Source organism: Homo sapiens, chromosome 8, assembly GCF_000001405.40.
Source record: "Homo sapiens chromosome 8, GRCh38.p14 Primary Assembly".
Classification (NCBI taxonomy): Eukaryota; Metazoa; Chordata; class Mammalia; order Primates; family Hominidae; genus Homo; species Homo sapiens.
In genome coordinates, this window is record NC_000008.11 from 94,125,869 (window position 1) to 94,142,798 (window position 16,930).

The 16,930-nt window shown below is 38.8% G+C and overlaps 1 protein-coding gene across 14 annotated transcripts in view; it reads right to left on the reverse strand.

The window, feature by feature from the left end:
- Positions 1-1,293: 1,293 nt before the first annotated feature.
- CDH17 (cadherin 17) overlaps positions 1,294-16,930 on the reverse strand; it is a 90,117-nt gene continuing 74,480 nt past the window's right edge. For 11 of the 14 annotated variants that reach the window (NM_001144663.2, NM_001413954.1, NM_001413961.1 and 8 more), the window contains 3 exons: positions 5,008-5,124; positions 4,758-4,871; positions 1,294-2,472 (listed from right to left, as the gene is read on the reverse strand). In NM_001144663.2, coding sequence (NP_001138135.1) covers positions 2,372-2,472; positions 4,758-4,871; positions 5,008-5,124 — 332 coding nt within the window. In that variant the 3' untranslated portion in view covers positions 1,294-2,371. Of the gene's footprint in view, positions 2,473-4,757; positions 4,872-5,007; positions 5,125-16,487; positions 16,625-16,930 lie in introns of all 14 variants that reach the window. The other 3 variants (NR_182224.1, NM_001413955.1, NM_001413958.1) reach the window with 3 other exon arrangements.

Consider the following 16,930-nt stretch of genomic DNA (forward strand, 5'->3'; position numbering starts at 1 on the left):
TTAACATTTTTTCCTTCATTTCAGCCTTGGAAAATCTGATGATTATGTGTCTTGAGATTGCTTTTCTTGAGTAATATCTTAGTAGTGTTCTCTGTGTTTCCTGAATTGGAATGTTATCTTTCGGATAGGTCTTGCTAGGTTGGGGAAGTTCTCTGTGCTAATATCCTGAAGTGTGTTTTCTAACTTGGTTCCATTCTCCCTGTCACTTTCAGGTACACCAATCAATCATAGGTTTAGTCTTTTCACATCTTCCCATATATCTTGGAGGCTTTGTTCCTTTTCATTCATTTTTCTGTAATCTTATCTTCTCACTTGATCTTCAGTCTCTGATACCCTTTCTTCCACTTGATTGATTCGGCTATTGATACTTGCGTATGCTTCACGAAGTTTTCATGCTGTGTTTTTCAGCTGCATCAGGTCGTTTATGTTCTTCTCTAAACTGGTTATTCTAGTTGGCAGTTTCTGTAACCTTTTATTAAGGTTCTTAGCTTCCCTGCATTGGGCTAGAACATGTTCCTTTAGGTCACAGGAGTTTGTTATTACCCACCTTCTGTCAATTTGTCAAACTCATTCTCCATCCAGTTTTGTTCCTTTGCCGAAGACGAGTTGTGATCATTTGGAGAAGAGGCATTCTTGTTTTTGGAATTTTCAGCATTTTTGCACTGGTTTTTCCTCATCTTCATAGATTTATCTACCTTTGGTCTTTGAGGCTGATGACCTTTGGATGGGGTTTTTATGTGGGGGTCCCTTTTGTTGATGTTATTGCTTTCTATTTTTTAGTTTTTCTTCTAACAGTGAGGCCTGTCTTTTGCAGGTCTGCTGGACTTTGCTGGAGGTCCACTCCAGACCCTGTTTGCCTGGGTACCACCAGCAGAGACTGCAGAACAGCAGAGATTGCTGCAGCTCCTTTCTCTGGAAGCTTTGTCCCAGAGGGGCACTGGCCTGATGCCAGCCGGAGCTCTCCTGCATGAGGCATCTCCCAGGCTGGAGGCACTGGGGTCAGGGACCTACTTGAGTAGGCAGTCTGTCCCTTAGCAGAGTTCGAGTGCTGTGCTGGGAGAATCCTCCTTGTCAGGATTAGCTGTTGTCTTCGGAGCCAGCAAGCAGGAACATTTAAATCTGCTGAAGCTGTGCCCACAGCCACCCCTTCCCCCAAGTGCTCTGTCTAGGGAGATGGGAGTTTTATCTATAAGCCCCTGACTAGGGCTGCTGGGGAGGCAATTTTTATACACAAAAAATAACAATTGTTATTCTGTCCTTCCCCTCCACAAATAAAAACAGAGGCAGAGCGGATCAACAAACAAAACTGACTACAACCAGTGTTTATTCTTGATTTGTCACCACTCTTTTCATGTCTTGTTTTCTTCCACATGTTAAATATATAATAACCAAAACTTTACTAACATACGAATGAAGAAAACATGCGCAGCATGTATGCATGGCAGGTAGTGAGGAAATCTGGCCAGCTGACTGGTTCCTTTACCAAGGTTTGCAGAGTAGGTTGTGTTTGAACACCTTCTGTGGGTCTGTGTCATTTCCAAGTTGAAGAATTTCAGCCAAAGAGCAACATGTCACATTGATTAAAGATGGTTAATGACACAGAAACATTTCTGTTAATACTAAGGGAAAAGGCTGTTCTTTTATTTATTTATTTTTCCTGAGTCCTCACGTTTTTCTTCTCTGACAAATGTTTGAAATTCAGTGAAATACCAAAGGAGTCAAGGATGAAGGGGACACAGGATGGAATCAGAAAAAACATAAATGGAATCCAGGCAGTTCTATGAGACAACACTGATATATCTCCTTGATAAAGAAAAAATGTACAGAATATTTAATGAGTCTGTCTTGCCCCAAAAGGGAAAAACACAAGTAGCTAAGCCATTTGCAGAGAGGAAAAATGTCATGGAAAAATGAAAAATCTCTCTAATGTCTATAGCACATGAAATATCTAAGTAGGTGGGTGCAGTGGTTCATGCCTGTATTGGGAGACCAAGGCAGGCAGATCACTTGACGTCAGGAGTTCAAGACCAGCCTGGCCAAATGGCGAAACCCCGTCTCTATTAAAAATACAAAAATTAGCTGGGCATGGTGGTGGGTGCCTGTAAACCCAGCTACTTAGGAAGCTGAGGCAGGAGAATCATGTGAACCCAGGAGGCGGAGGTTGCAGTGAGCTGGGATCACACCACTGTACTCCAGCCTGGGCGACAGAGCAAGACTCCACCTCAAAAAAGAAATATTTAGCAAATATTAAAGGACAAGAGGGAATATCTGTTTAAAAAATTATAATGCACGTTAGATGAAAAGTAATAGGATGAGATGGTTGTTGCTGAAATAGCACTTGCTATATAAATTCAAACATTCCTTTTCAAATTCAGCTTCTCAGAGGTTTGACTTCAGATGCTTGAGCACTTTCAACATTATCTTTGCCTTTATCCTTCTTTATGCGGATAAACACAACTGCTAAAATTATACCTAAAAGAAAAAACCCAGGGTCAAATAAATGGGACCTTTTAAAATGTACTGTCACATTCAGTTATAAAGTAGTATTGTGGTAGGAAAAAAATGACTCAACTTCATTTTTGTATGTGATTCAACAAAATTTCACTGTCCTAGTGAATAAGGGACTCTAGTCGTTGGCCTTCTTGGAGAAATGAGCTTATCATTTATCCTGTTGTATGTATGTATCAAGTCCCAAATCATAGCTGACTTGGTGGCTCTCACTGGATCTCGCTGTAAGAATATAGGACCTAATGTTCCACACTATGGAGTGTATATGTCCCACACTATAGAGTGTATAAGCACCTGACAAAGTTCCTGAACTTTATATATACTTAATATTGATTCTATTCTTCCCCTTTCCTAGAGAAAACAATCCAATTAGCACAACTAGAAAGCTGTTCTCTGACCTGTTCACCTCCCTGAAGCTGATTTTCATCGTGTCCATACCAACTATCGCATTTCCTTGGGCGCCTTCCTCCTGGATCCTGCCTATGTTGTTGTGGGACCCTGGGTAGACTACTTAACCTTCTTGGTTTCTCCCACCTGATACATCAAAATTACACTGTGCAGCTCAGCACTGATTGTGTACTGTCAGAGTCCACTATGAAGAAGGAGTTGTTTTAAGGAAATTAACCTGCTAGTAAGTTTATAGGAGGAATCATGGCAGAAAAGTCTGGATGCTCAGAAACTTATAATTCCAACCCTATCTTGAAAATAAGGTCATGAAACTGTAAAATCCTATTACTTCTATTTCTGGATGTCCCCAAACTCAAGCAGTCTTTAACTTGTGGTAAGATTATGGAATTAAATTGATACGTTAAGAAAATTGCTATCTGATTTGTAAATTCAAAAATCCTTTCAAGGTGGGAGGGCAAATAGAATAAGAAAAGGCACAGAGGCAGAAGGGACCTATGTAAGTGAGTGGGACCTCAAAAAGACAGCTCAATTACCATGAAAAGTGTGCAGTAGATAGTGGTTCTCAGGGAGGAAAGATGATCACCATGCACACATTAGGATGGGAAGTGGCCATGACATGAAGGCCCTCCCATGCCATAGGGAGTCCAGACTGAAGGGTATAAAGAAGTGAGACCCCCTTTAGATGCATGAATCAGAGTCCAGTGTGACACACTGGATCATGGGAGAAAAGATCAGATGCTGAGAGAACAATCAATAATACTTAGAATAATCCTAGTCCTTCTTTTAAAAGAAAAAGGATATGAAACCATAAACCCCTTCACTCAGGTACACATGAAATAATGAAGTATCTATTCCTAATGTTTAACTTGTGGTGGGGACAACAGTTGAAAGAGGGCAATTACTATATAGGTTGAGTATCCTTAATCTGAAAATCTCAAATCTGAAACTTTTGGGGTACCAACTTGATGTCACAAGCATAAAATTCTACACCTGACCTCATGTGACAGGTTGCAGGCAAAACTTTGTTTCATACACAATATTATTTAAAATATTGTATGAAATACCTTCAGACTACGTGTATAAAATGTTTATGAATCACGTGAATTTTGTGTTGAGACTTGGGTCTCATCCCCAAGATATCTCATCGTGTATTTGCAAATGTTCAAAAATCTGGAAAAAACCCAAAATCTGAAACACTTCTGCTCTCAAGCATTTTGGGTAAGGAAACACTTGGAATAGGCACTGAGTTGTTTGCAAAAAAGAAAAAGACAGCTAGATCAGGGGACTGTACTGTCTAGCCAAGCAAGGGGCTATGGCAGAGGCTGTGGTCATGATGCAATGGGTTATTCTGGGTAGTAAAGAATCAGGGTTCTATGCATAGGGAAGTTCTGCACTACACATTTCAGATATCTCAGCATCGCCACTGGAAGGCTAACTTCTGCCTGTAACAACAATGGCAGGTGAGACCATAAACTCTGGTGTAGGATCTGTGTATGTCACTCTTTCCCCATCAAGCACAGTGCCTGACACATGGCACAGCTACTGCATTTCTTCCCTCTTTATCACAAAAGCTTTGTAACTAGGCATAATATATGACAATTGATGACCATAAAGCCCCTTATATTTCTAAACTAATAAGGCAATAGAGACAGAGGGTAGTACTAAAGCTGTAACTCCAATCAAGAAAGTCTGATGTAATTTGCTGGTGATCTACCTTCTGGGCTATTGCCTGAGTTGCCATTTGAGCAGCCACCAGACCAGTCCAGGAAGACAGGCCCTGAGATGAGCTCACATTTCTGAGGCCCAGGATAAGACTCTTTGAATTAAGAAATTACACTCACCAATCACCAGAAGGGTGGTCAGCAGTATACCAACTGCCATGCCCACAGTGGGTATCCCAGTCTGGTGACCTGCTGGCCGGAAACAACTTCCTTCCACACAACTGCAGAATGTAACTGAAAAGCAGGACAGTATTTGGTAGGATAAATTCTCAAGTGAATAGTTGCAGAATCCCATATCAAAGACAAGAATCTCCTCAAACGGCCCATGGTGACAGATACTAGCCTGAGTTGCCTATAGCAGAATATCTACCTGGTAAAGAAACAATGCCTTCCAAGGGTGGCCGACCCCCATCATTGATGCGGATCAAGACGACATACTCCCTCTCCTCAAACTCTGTGTGCCTGGTAGACAGTCGGGCATGAGTACCTGCCAGGACAGGAAAAAAAAATGAAAATACAACTTCAGACCCTGGATTAGCAGGAATAAAGCTCATTTTGTATCACATACTAAGGTTGACTGGAACATGGCTAGATATGAGTTAAACTGCCCAAAGTATCATCCACATCATTCCACATGTATCTTCCCATAAGGTAAGAAAGGGCTAAAGCATCCTTTAAGTTCTTAATTCATGATTTCTCTGTAGAAATTTATACTAAATATAGTCAATTATCATTTGTAGCACTTATGCTCTATAAAGTTGCCCCAAACACTGAATTAATGAATGCTGAACCATTGCTCCTAGAGGAAAGACAGGGTTAGGTTTCTGTGAGCTTCTAGTCATATTTTCCCCAACTGATCAATACATAACCTTGCTTTTTGTGTGTTGCTGTTCAAAGATATCTTATTTAACATATATTGTTCATTCTAACATTTAACTCACATCTAACAGCACTAGAACTTCCTGAACAAAGCTTATCAAACACACATATTTAGGTTGGTGGAAAATAATTGCAGTTTTGGACATTACTTTTAATTTGTGTCCCAAACCACAATTTTTCCCTGTAAGGCACACATCACAGCCTTCCTGTGCTTAGGAATTCTAGATAGCACTTCAGCACTATAGTTCAAAGCCATTTTTTTTTTTATCATGGGTCATCTTTTAGGTTTGACCCTGTGTGGTTTTTTTTAATACTTTGTGCACATGTACCCTAGAACTTAATGTGCAGGTTTGATACGTAGGTATACATGTGTCATGTTGATTTGCTGTACTCATCAACTCGTCATTTACATTAGGTATTTCTCCTAATGCTATCCTCCCCCAGACCCCCACCCCCTGACAGGCTCTGGTGTGTGATGTTCCCCGCCCTGTGACCAAGTGTTCTCATTGTTCAATTCCCACCTATGAGTGAGAACATGCAGTGTTTGGTGTTATGTCCTTGTGATAGTTTGCTGAGAATGATGGTTTCCAGCTTCATCCATGTCCCTGCAAAGGACATGGACTCATCCTTTTTTATGGCTGCATAATATTCCATGGTGTATATGTGCCACATTTTCTTAATCCAGTCTATCATTGATGGACATTTTGGTTGGTTCCAAGTCTTTGCTCTTGTGAATAGTGCCACAATAAACATACGTGTGCACGTGTCTTTATAGTAGCATGGTTTATAATCCTTTGGGTATATACCCAGTAATGGAATTGCTGGGTCAAATGGTCTTTCAGGTTCTGTATCCTTGAGGAATCACCACACTGTCTTCCACAATGGTTGAACTAATTTACACTCCCACCAACAGTGTAAAAGTGTTCCTATTTCTCCACATCCTCTCCTGCAACTGTTGTTTCCTGACTTTTTAATGATCACCCTTCTAACTGGTGTGAGATGGTATCTCATTGTGGTTTTGATTTGCATTTCTCTGATGACCAGTGATGATCATGTTGATGTGTCTGTTAGCTGCATAAATGTCTTTTGAGAAGTGTCTGTTCATATCTGTTGCCCACTTTTTGATGGGGTCGTTTTTTTCTTGTAAATTTGTTTGAGTTCTTTGTAGATTCTGGATATTAGCCCTTTGTCAGATGGGTAGATTGCAGAAATGTTCTTCCATTCTGTATGTTGCCTGTTCACTCTGATGGTAGTTTCTTTTGCTGTGCAGAAGCTCTTTAGTTTAATTAGATCCCATTTGTCAAGTTTGTCTTTTGTTGCCATTGCTTTTGGTGTTTTAGTCATGAAGTCCTTGCCCACGCCTGTCTTCTGAATGGTATTGCCTCGGTTTTCTTCTAGGGATTTTATGGTTTTAGGTCTAACATTTAAGTCTTTAATCCATCTTGAATTAATTTTTGTGTAAGGTGTAAGGAATGGATCCAGTTTCAGCTTTCTACATATGCCTAGCCAGTTTTCCCAGCACCATTTATTAAATAGGGAATCCTTTCCCCATTGCTTGTTTTTCTCCGGTTTGTCAAAGATCACATGATTGTACATGTGTGGTGTTATTTCTGAGGTCTCTGTTCTGTTCCATTGGTCTATATATCTGTTTTGGTACCAGTACCATGCTGTTTTGGTTACTGTAGCCTTGTAGTATAGTTTGAAGTCAGGTAGTGTGACACCTCCAGCATTGTTCTTTTTGCTTAGGATTGTCTTGGCAATGCGGGCTCTTTTTTGGTTCCATATGAACTTTACAGTTTTTTCTAATTCTGTGAAGAAGGTCATTGGTAGCTTGAAGGGGATGGCATTGAATCTATGAATTACCTTGGGCAGTATGGCCATTTTCACGACATTGATTCTTCCTGTCCACGAGCATGGAATGTTCTTCCATTTGTTTGTGTCCTCCGTTACTTCGTTGAGCAGTGGTTTATAGTTCTCCTTGAAGAGGTCCTTCACATCCCTTGTAAGTTGGATTCCTAGGTATTTTATTCTCTTTGCAGCAATTGTGAATGGGACTTCACTCATGTTTTGGCTCTCTTTGTTTTGGTGTATAGGAACGCTTGTAATTTTTGCACATTGATTTTGTACCCTGAGATTTTGCTGAAGTTGCTTATCAGCTTAAGGAGATTTTGGGCTGAGACAATAGGGTTTTCTAAATATACAATCATGTCATGTGCAAACAGGGACAATTTGACTTCCTCTTTTCCTAATTGAATACCCTTTATTTCTTTCTCTTGCCTGATTGCCCTGGCCAGAACTTCCAACACTGTGTTGAATAGGAGTGGTGAGAGAGGGCATCCTTGTCTTCTGCCGGTTTTCAAAGAGAAGACTTCCAGTTTTTACCCATTCAATATGATATTGGCTGTGGGTTTATCATAAATAGCTCTTATTATTTTGAGATATGTTCCATCAATACCTACTTTATTGAGAGTTTTTAGCATGAAGGGCTGAATTTTGTCAAAGGCCTTTTCTGCATCTATTGAGATAATCATGTGATTTTTGTCATTGGTTTTTCTTATGTGATGGATTATGTTTATTGATTTGTGTATGTTGAACCAGCCTTGCATCCCAGGGATGAAGCCAACTTGATTGTGTTGGATAAGCTTTTTGATGTGCTGCTGGATTCAGTTTGCCAGTATTTTACTGAGGATTTTCACATCGATGTTCATCAAGGATACTGGTCTAAAATTCTCTGTTTTTGTTGTGTCTCTGCCAGACTTTGGCATCAGGATGAAGCTGGCCTCATAAAATGAGTTAGGGAGGATTCCCTCTTTTTCTATTGATTGAAATAGTTTCAGAAGGAATGATACCAGCTCTTCTTGTACCTCTGGTAGAATTCAGCTGTGAATCCATCTGATCCTGGACTTTTTTTTGTTGGTAGGCTATTAATTATTGCCTCAATTTCAGAGCCTGTTATTGGTCTATTCAGAGATTCAACTTCTTCCTGGTTCAGTCTTGGGAAGGGTGTATGTGTCCAGGAATTTATCCATTTCTTCTAGATTTTCTAGTTTATTTGTGTAGAGGTGTTTATAGTATTCTCTGATTGTAGTTTGTATTTCTGTGGGACCAGTGGTGATATTCCCTTTATCATTTTTTTATTGCGTCTATTTGATTCTTCTCTCTTTTCTTCTTTATTAGTCTTGCTAGCAGTCTATCAATTTTGTTGATCTTTTCAAAAAACCAGCTCCTGGATTCATTGTTTTTTTGAGGGGTTTTTTGTGTCTCTATCATCTCCTTCAGTTCTGTTCTGATCTTAGTTATTTCCTGCCTTCTGCTAGCTTTTGAATGTGTTTGCTCTTTCTTCTCTAGTTCTTTTCATTGTGATGTTAGGGTGTCAATTTTAGATCTTTCCTGCTTTCTCATGTGGGCATTTAATGCTATAAATTTCCCTCTACACACTGCTTTAAATGTGTCCCAGAGATTCTGGTACGTTGTGTGTTTGTTCTCATTGGTTTCAAAAAACATCTTTATTTTCTGCCTTCATTTCGTTATTTATCCAGTAGTCATTCAGGAGCAGCTTGTTCAGTTTCCATGTAGTTGTGTGGTTTTGAGTGAGTTTTTGTCCTGAGTTCTAATTTGATTGCACTGTGGTCTGAGAGACAGTTTGTTGTGATTTCTGTTCTTTTACATTTGCTGAGGAGTGCTTAACTTCCAATTATATGGTCAATTTTGGCATAAGTGCTATGTGGCACTGAGAAGAATGTATATTCTGTTGATTTGGGGTGGAGAGTTCTGTAGATGTCTATTAGGTCTGATTGGTGCAGAGCTGAGTTCAAGTCCTGGATATCCTTGTTAACCTTCTGTCTCATTGATATGTCTAATATTGACAGTGGGGTGTTAAAGTCTCCCATGATTATTGTGTGGGAGTCTAAGTCTTTGTAGGTCTCTAAGGACTTGCTTTATGAATCTGGGTGCTCCTGTATTAGGTGCATATATATTTAGGATAGTTAGCTCTTCTTGTTGAATTGATCCCTTTACCATTATGTAATGGCCTCCTTTGTCTCTTTTCATCTTTGTTGGTTTAAAGTCTGTTTTATCAGAGACTAGGATTGCGATCCCTGCTTTTTTTGCTTTCCATTTGCTTGGTAGATCTTCCTCCATCCTTTTATTTTGAGTCTATGTGTTTCTCTGCACGTGAGATGGGTCTCCCAACAGCACACTGATGGGTCTTGACTCTTTATCCAATTTGCCAGTCTGTGTCTTTTAATTGGGGCATTTAGCCCATTTACATTTAAGGTTAATATTGTTATGTGTGAATTTGATCCTGTCATTATGATGTTAGCTGGTTATTTTGCCTGTTAATTGATATAGTTTCTTCCTAGCATCGATGGTCTTTACAATTTGGCATGTTTTTGCAGTGGCTGGTACTGGTTGTTCCTTTCCATGTTTAGTGCTTCCTTCAAGAGCTCTTGTAAGGCAGGCCTGGTGGTGACAAAATCTCTCAGCATTTGCTTGTCTGTAAAGGATTTTATTTCTCCTTCACTTATGAAGCTTAGTTTGGCTGGATATGAAATTCTGGGTTGTAAATTCTTTTCTTTAAGAACGTTGAATATTGGCCCCCACTCTCTTCTGGCTTGTAGGGTTTCTGTAGAGAGATCCACTGTTAGTCTGATGGGCTTCCCTTTGTGGGTAACCCGACCTTTCTCTCTGGCTGCCCTTAACATTTTTCCCTTCATTTCAACCTTGGTGAATCTGACAATTATGTGTCTTGGGGTTGCTCTTCTCGAGGAGTATCTTTGTGGTGGTCTCTGTATTTCCTGAATTTGAATGTTGGCCTGCCTTGCTAGATTGGGGAAGTTCTCCTGGATAATATCCTGAAGAGTGTTTTCCAACTTGGTTTCATTCTCCCCGTCACTTTCAGGTACACCAATTAGACATAGATTTGGTCTTTTCACATAGTCCCATATTTCTTGGAGGCTTTGTTTCTTTTTACTCTTTTTTTCTCCTTGCTTTATTTCATTAATTTGATCTTCAATCACTGATACACTTTCTTCCACTTGATTGAATCAGCTACTGAAGCTTGTGCATGCATCACGAAGTTCTCCTGCCATGGTTTTCAGCTCTATCAGGTCATTTAAGGTCTTCTCTACACTGTTTATTCTAGTTAGCCATTCATCTAACCCTTTTTCAAGGTTTTTAGCTTCCTTGCGTTGGGTTCAAATGTGCTCCTTTAGCTCAGAGAAGTTTGTTATTACCAACCTTCTGAAGCCTGCTTCTGTCAACTCGTCAAAGTCATTCTCCATCCAGCTTTGTTCCGTTGCTGGCAAGGAGCTGCAATCCTTTGGAGGAGAAGAGGCATTCTGGTTTTTAGAATTTTCAGCTTTTCTGCTCTGGTTTCTCTCCACCTTTGGTCTTTGATGTTGGTGACCTACAGTTGGGGTTTTGGTGTAGATGTCCTTTTTGCTGATGTTGATGCTATTCCTTTCTGTTTGTTAGTTTTCCTTCTAACAGGTCCCTCAGCTGCAGGTCTGTTGGAGTTTGCTGGAGGTCCACTCCAGACCCTGTTTGCCTGGGTATCACCAGTGGAGGCTGCAGAACAGCAAATATTGCAGAACAGCAAATATTGCTGCCTGATCCTTCCTCTGGGAGCTTTGTCCCAGAGTGCTACCCACCTATATGAAGTATCAGTCAGCCCCTACTGGGAGGTGTCTCCCAATTAGGCTACATGGGGGTTTGGGACCCACTTGAGGAGGCAGTGTGTCTGTTCTCAGAGGTGAAATGTCATGCTGGGAGAACCGCTGCTCTCTCCAGAGCTGTCAGACAGGGATGTTTAAGTCTGCAGAAGTTATCTGCTACCTTTTGTTCAGCTATGCCCTGTCCATAGAAATGGAGTCTATAGAGGCAGTAGGCCTTGTTGAGCTGCTGTAGCCTCCACCCCATTTGAGCTTCCCAGCCGCTTTACCTACTGAAGCCTCAGCAATGGTGGATGCCCCTCTCCTAGCCAGGCTGCCACCTTGCAATTTGATCTCAGACTGCTGTGCTAACAGTGAACAAGGCTCTGTGGGCACGGGACCTGCCAAGCCAGGCACGGGAGAGAATCTCCTTCTCTGCCAGTTGCTAAGATCTTGGAAAAAGTGCAGTATTTGGGTGGGAGTGTCCTGTTTTTCCAGGTACAGTCTGTCATGGCTTCCCTTGACTAGGAAAGGGAAATCACCTCACCCTTGTGCTTCCTAGGTGAGGCGACACCCCACCCAGTTCAGAGCCATTTTAAACAATGAAATCACCAATGAAAAGCACAGAAACGTGAAAAACAGCGCACTACATAAACTGCAAAAAGTAAAAAAAAACCTAACTAACTTAACAATGTGAGAGCTGGGAATATGTGTGTCCAGTATTTTTCACCACCCTGCCAGTGTCCATGAAAGCAAAAGCGAAAGCTCCTGTAAGTACTGACTTTTGGGTTACAAATTTTATCATGTAGATTATTTTATAAACACAATCTGCAAATAATGGGGATCGACTGTATGTGTCAGAAGATTGGAGAGTACCTGGGACTGAGCTTCTGTAGACCTGATTCTGGGTTTCAAATCTGCTGCTTGTTAGCTATGTAATTGGGTAAGTCATAACATTTATAGGCCTCAAAATCCCTCTGAGTCCAGAAATAAGGGTATGCATGATATTATACCTGGTTTTCAGGGCATTTACCACCTTTTTTAAAATAGAAAATTGAGAGTACAAAAACACTAAACTTCAAATTTCTAAACAAAAATTTGATTTTGCTACAATTCACACTTATGCCCTCCCTATTCATATCTGCCAAGAAATTTTCCCAAATTTGGGAAGATTTAAATATGCATATTTAAAAATTATTATGGCCCACCTAGATAAGATATAGTAACAGGGACCAGAGTTACCATTCCACCAAAAACAACTAAAAGAACAAAAAATATGTGAAACCATGGGTTTAAAGATTTATATATTAGGCAATGGACAGTGATTTCTGAAAGAAGGAAAGCAAATGAGGTAAATTTTATAATTGCCTCAGCTTACCACCCAAAGCAAATATCCAGGTATCAGTTGCAGGGAGCAGGAGCTCAGACAGAGCCCAGTGATGTCCCTGAGTTGAGGTGATGGAGCACAGGAGTAAGGCAAAGTTAAGAAACTAGAGTTTACAGAGCAGAGTCCCAGAGAGAGCTGCAAAGAGAATGCACACTAAAGAGATTTATAGAGGGGTCTCTTAAGGCTTTAGCTGAGTACTGATCAGTGTATTTATATGAAGGAACTACTCAAGGCTGGGGAAAGAACCACCTAAAAAGATTAGAGAACACAGCGCTCACAAAGAGCCAGGAATCATTCCTGGTCCCTAGAGCTAAAAATCTCATAATTCATGTGCTACCAGGTAGAATACATAGAAGGCTTCACCTCACAAGTTTGAAAACATTAGCCCTAGAATAAATGCTGCCCTGGCCCTATCTAAGAAAATTTAAAAGCAACACATGAAAGCATCAAACTTTTTCCAAATGATCTAACTGTATTTCACAATAAAGTTCAAGAATATTTATGGGAATACAAAATATTCAGCATCTAAATGTCTGGCATTTAATAAAAAATTGCCAGACATTCAGTAAAAGAGAAAAATATGACCTATGAGAGAAAAGATCAATTGACGCCTACCCAGAAATTATACATATTACATAAATAGTGGGAAAAGACATGAAAACAGTTATAATTATATTCTATATGTTCAAGAAGCTACAAGACTGAGAAGTGTAGATAGATACAGAACATTTTAAAAACCCAAGTTAATTTATAGAAGAAAACTACAAAGTTTGATATAAAAATAGACTAGGTTGGATGAATGGCTATAATATAGCCATTGAATATAGCAGGAAAAAACAGTAAACTTGAAGATATAGAAATAAAGCTATCCAAAAAGAAATAGAAAAAAAATAAGCTTTGAGACAACTTCAAGTGGCCTAATACATGTGTAATCGAATTCCTGAAAGCCAAGAAAGATAGTGGAGAGAAAAACATTTTTGATAAGACAATGGCTAATATTTTTTCCATGTTAGATGAAAACTCCAAATCCTCAGATCCAAGATGATCATCAAACTTCAGGAATAAGAAAAATGAATAAAATGCCATCAAGGCAATATGAACATCAAATTACTTAAAAGTAATAAGAGAATATCTTAAAAGCACCCAGAGAAAAAAGAATACAAACATTCAATGGAACAAGGAAGAACCATAGTGGGCAGGGCACCCCCGGTGGCTCATGCCTATAATCCCAGCACTTTGGGAGGCTGGGGCAGGCAGATTACTTGAAGCCAGGAGTTTGAGACCAGTCTGGCCAACATGGAAAAACCCTGTCTCTACTAAAAATACAAAAAGTAGCTGGGCATCATGGTGTGCACCTGTAATCCCAGCTACTAGGGAGACTGAGGCACAAGAATCATTTGAACCTGGGAGGCTGAGATTGTGCCACTGCACTCCAGCCTGGGCAACAGAGTAAGACTGTCTCCAAAAAATAAAAAATAAATAAAAAAAAAGGGGGGGTGGTGAAATACCTTCAAAGTACTGAAAGAAAAAATGTCTAAATAAATTTAAAAGTATTCTAGTCATGTTTTCTGGTTATGATGTAATTAAATTAGAAGTTAGAAAGGTATAAGGTATAGGAAATATTCCCAGAATATTTGGAAACTAAATAACACACTTCTAAATAACACATAATCACAAAAGAAATCTAAAGGGAAAACACAATGTATCAAATTTTGTGGGCCTGGCATGGTGGTTCACACCTGTAATCCCAGCATTTTGGGAGGCTGAGGTGGGAGGCTCACTTGAACCCAGGAGTTTGAGACAAGCCAGAGCAACATAGTGTGACCCCCATCTCTACAAAAAATTTAAAAATAAAAAATTAGCCAAGTGTGGTAGCTCATACGTGTAGTCCCAGCTACTTGGGAGGCTGAAGCAGGAGGATCGTCTGAGCCCAGGAATTCAAGGCTGCAGTAAGCCATGATCACACCACTGCACTGCAGCCTGGGTGACTGAGGCCCTGTCTATTAAAAAAAAAATGCAGCTAATGTGACACCTAAGATAAATTTATAGCTCTAAATGCCTGTTTAACAAAAAGATCTCAAATTAATGGCATCAGCTTCCACCTTAATGAAAACAGAACACGAACAAAAACACAGTGTAGGAAGAATAAAGGAAACAATAAAGATCTAGCCAGTGAAATATAAAACAAAAACAGAAAAAAAATCAATGAAACCAAAAGCTGGTTCTTTGAAAATATCAATAAAACTTCTAGCCAGATTATCAGGAAAAAAGATAATTTGCCAATATCAGAATGAGGTGATATCACTACATATTCTACAGATATTAATAAAATATGAACTATATCAATACATTAGATTAATGAAATAGATGAATTATTTGAAAGGTACAAGCTCAACCAAAAAGAAATATATAAATTGAATTTTTCTATATCTATAAAATTGAATTTGTAGTTAAAACTTCTTAAAAAGAAAATACACCAGGCCCAGATAGCTTTACTGGCAAATTCTTTCAAACTTTAAGAAGAAGTAATACCAATTTTATGCAAACTTGTCCAGATAATTGAAGATAAAGAGGTGGAATGCTTCCTCATTATACAAGGCAAAATATAGAGAGAGACCAACATCCCTCATGAATATAGATGCAAAAATTAAGTTTTAGCAAATCCAACAATACATAAACATGGTAATATTTCATCACTAAGTAGGCTTTATCCCAGGAATAAGGTGATTTTTAGATTCAAAAGTTGATAATAATGCATCAATTAATAGGCCCAAAAAATCAAATCAGCCACATAGTCAATACATGGAGAAAAAGCACTTGAAAAATTTAATATCCATTTCCAATTTAGGAAAAAAAAAACCCTCACAAATAGGAATAAAAGGCAAAGTCCTAAATCTAATAAAGACGACCTACAATAAAAAACCTACAGCTAACATCATATTTAATGGTGAAAGGCTAAATGCTTTCTTCCTAAGATCATGAACAAGTCAAGTATTTCTGCTCTTACTACCTCTATTTGACATTTCACTGAAGGTTTCAGCCAGTAATAAACAAAAGGCATACAGACTGAAAAGGAAGAAGTCATTATTCACAGACAACATGATTGTCTATGTAGAAAATCTATGAAATCTAAATAAGGTCAGCAAGCCTCTAGAATACAGATCAGTATACAGAAATCATTATATTCCTATATCTAGAAATATTTAGAAATTGAAATATTTAAAATATCAAAAATATGAAATGCTTAGGGAAAATTTTGTAAGAACTATACACTGAAAACTAAAACACATTGCTGAACGAAATTAAAGAGCTAAATAAATGGAGACATATACCATGTTCATGAATTGGAAGACTTAATATATCAATTCTCCTCCAGATTCCCCAGTAGATTCAATACAATCTCAACAGGATTTTTTTGGTAGAAAGGAACAGGCTACATTCTAAAATTTATACAGAAATGAAAAAGACATAGAATGAAGGAATTTTGAAAAAGAACAAAGTCGGAAAAATTAATCTACCTGATTTCAAGCCTTATACAGCTACAGCAATCAAGACAATGTGTTATTGGTATAAAAATAGAAACAGATTGATGAAACAGAAAAATTCAGAAATAGATTTATGTATAGGTGGTCACTTGATTTTTGCCAAAGTTGTTAAGATAATTCAATGTAAAAAAAGGATGTTTTAAACAAATGGTGTTAGAACAGTTAGATAGCTATGTTAAAAACAATAAACTTTGGTCTTTACCACACCCCCTATGCAAGCATATCTCAGCGATATGGGTTTGGTTCCAGACCACTGCAATAAAGCAAATAGCTCAGTGAAGCAAGTCACACAGATTTTTTGTTTTTCTACTGAAATAACAGCTTATACTATACTCTAGACTGTTAATAGCATTATACCTAAAAATAAAAAACCCCTAAATGTCCATACCTTAATTTAAAAGTACTTTGTTGCCAAAAAATGCTAATGATTATCTGACCCTTCAATGAGTCATAATCTTTTTGCTGCAAATCATTTCCTGTCTCAATGTTGGTGGTTGCTGAAGGCTGGGATGGCTGTGGCAATTTCTGAAAATAAGACAACAATGAAGTTTGTTGCACTTATTGACTCTTCCTTTCATGAGAGAGCCCTCTGTATAGCATGTGATGCTGGTTGATGGCATTTTACCCACAAGACAACATCTCTCAAAAATTGGAGTAAGTCTTCTCAAACACTGCCACTGTTTTATCAACTATGTTTATGGAATATTCTAAATCCTTGCTTGTTATTTCAACAATGTTCATGGCATCTTCACCAGAAGCAGATTCCATTGTTCAAAAACAAACAAACAAACAAAACACATTGTTCAGTTGTAAGAAGCAACTCTCATTCAT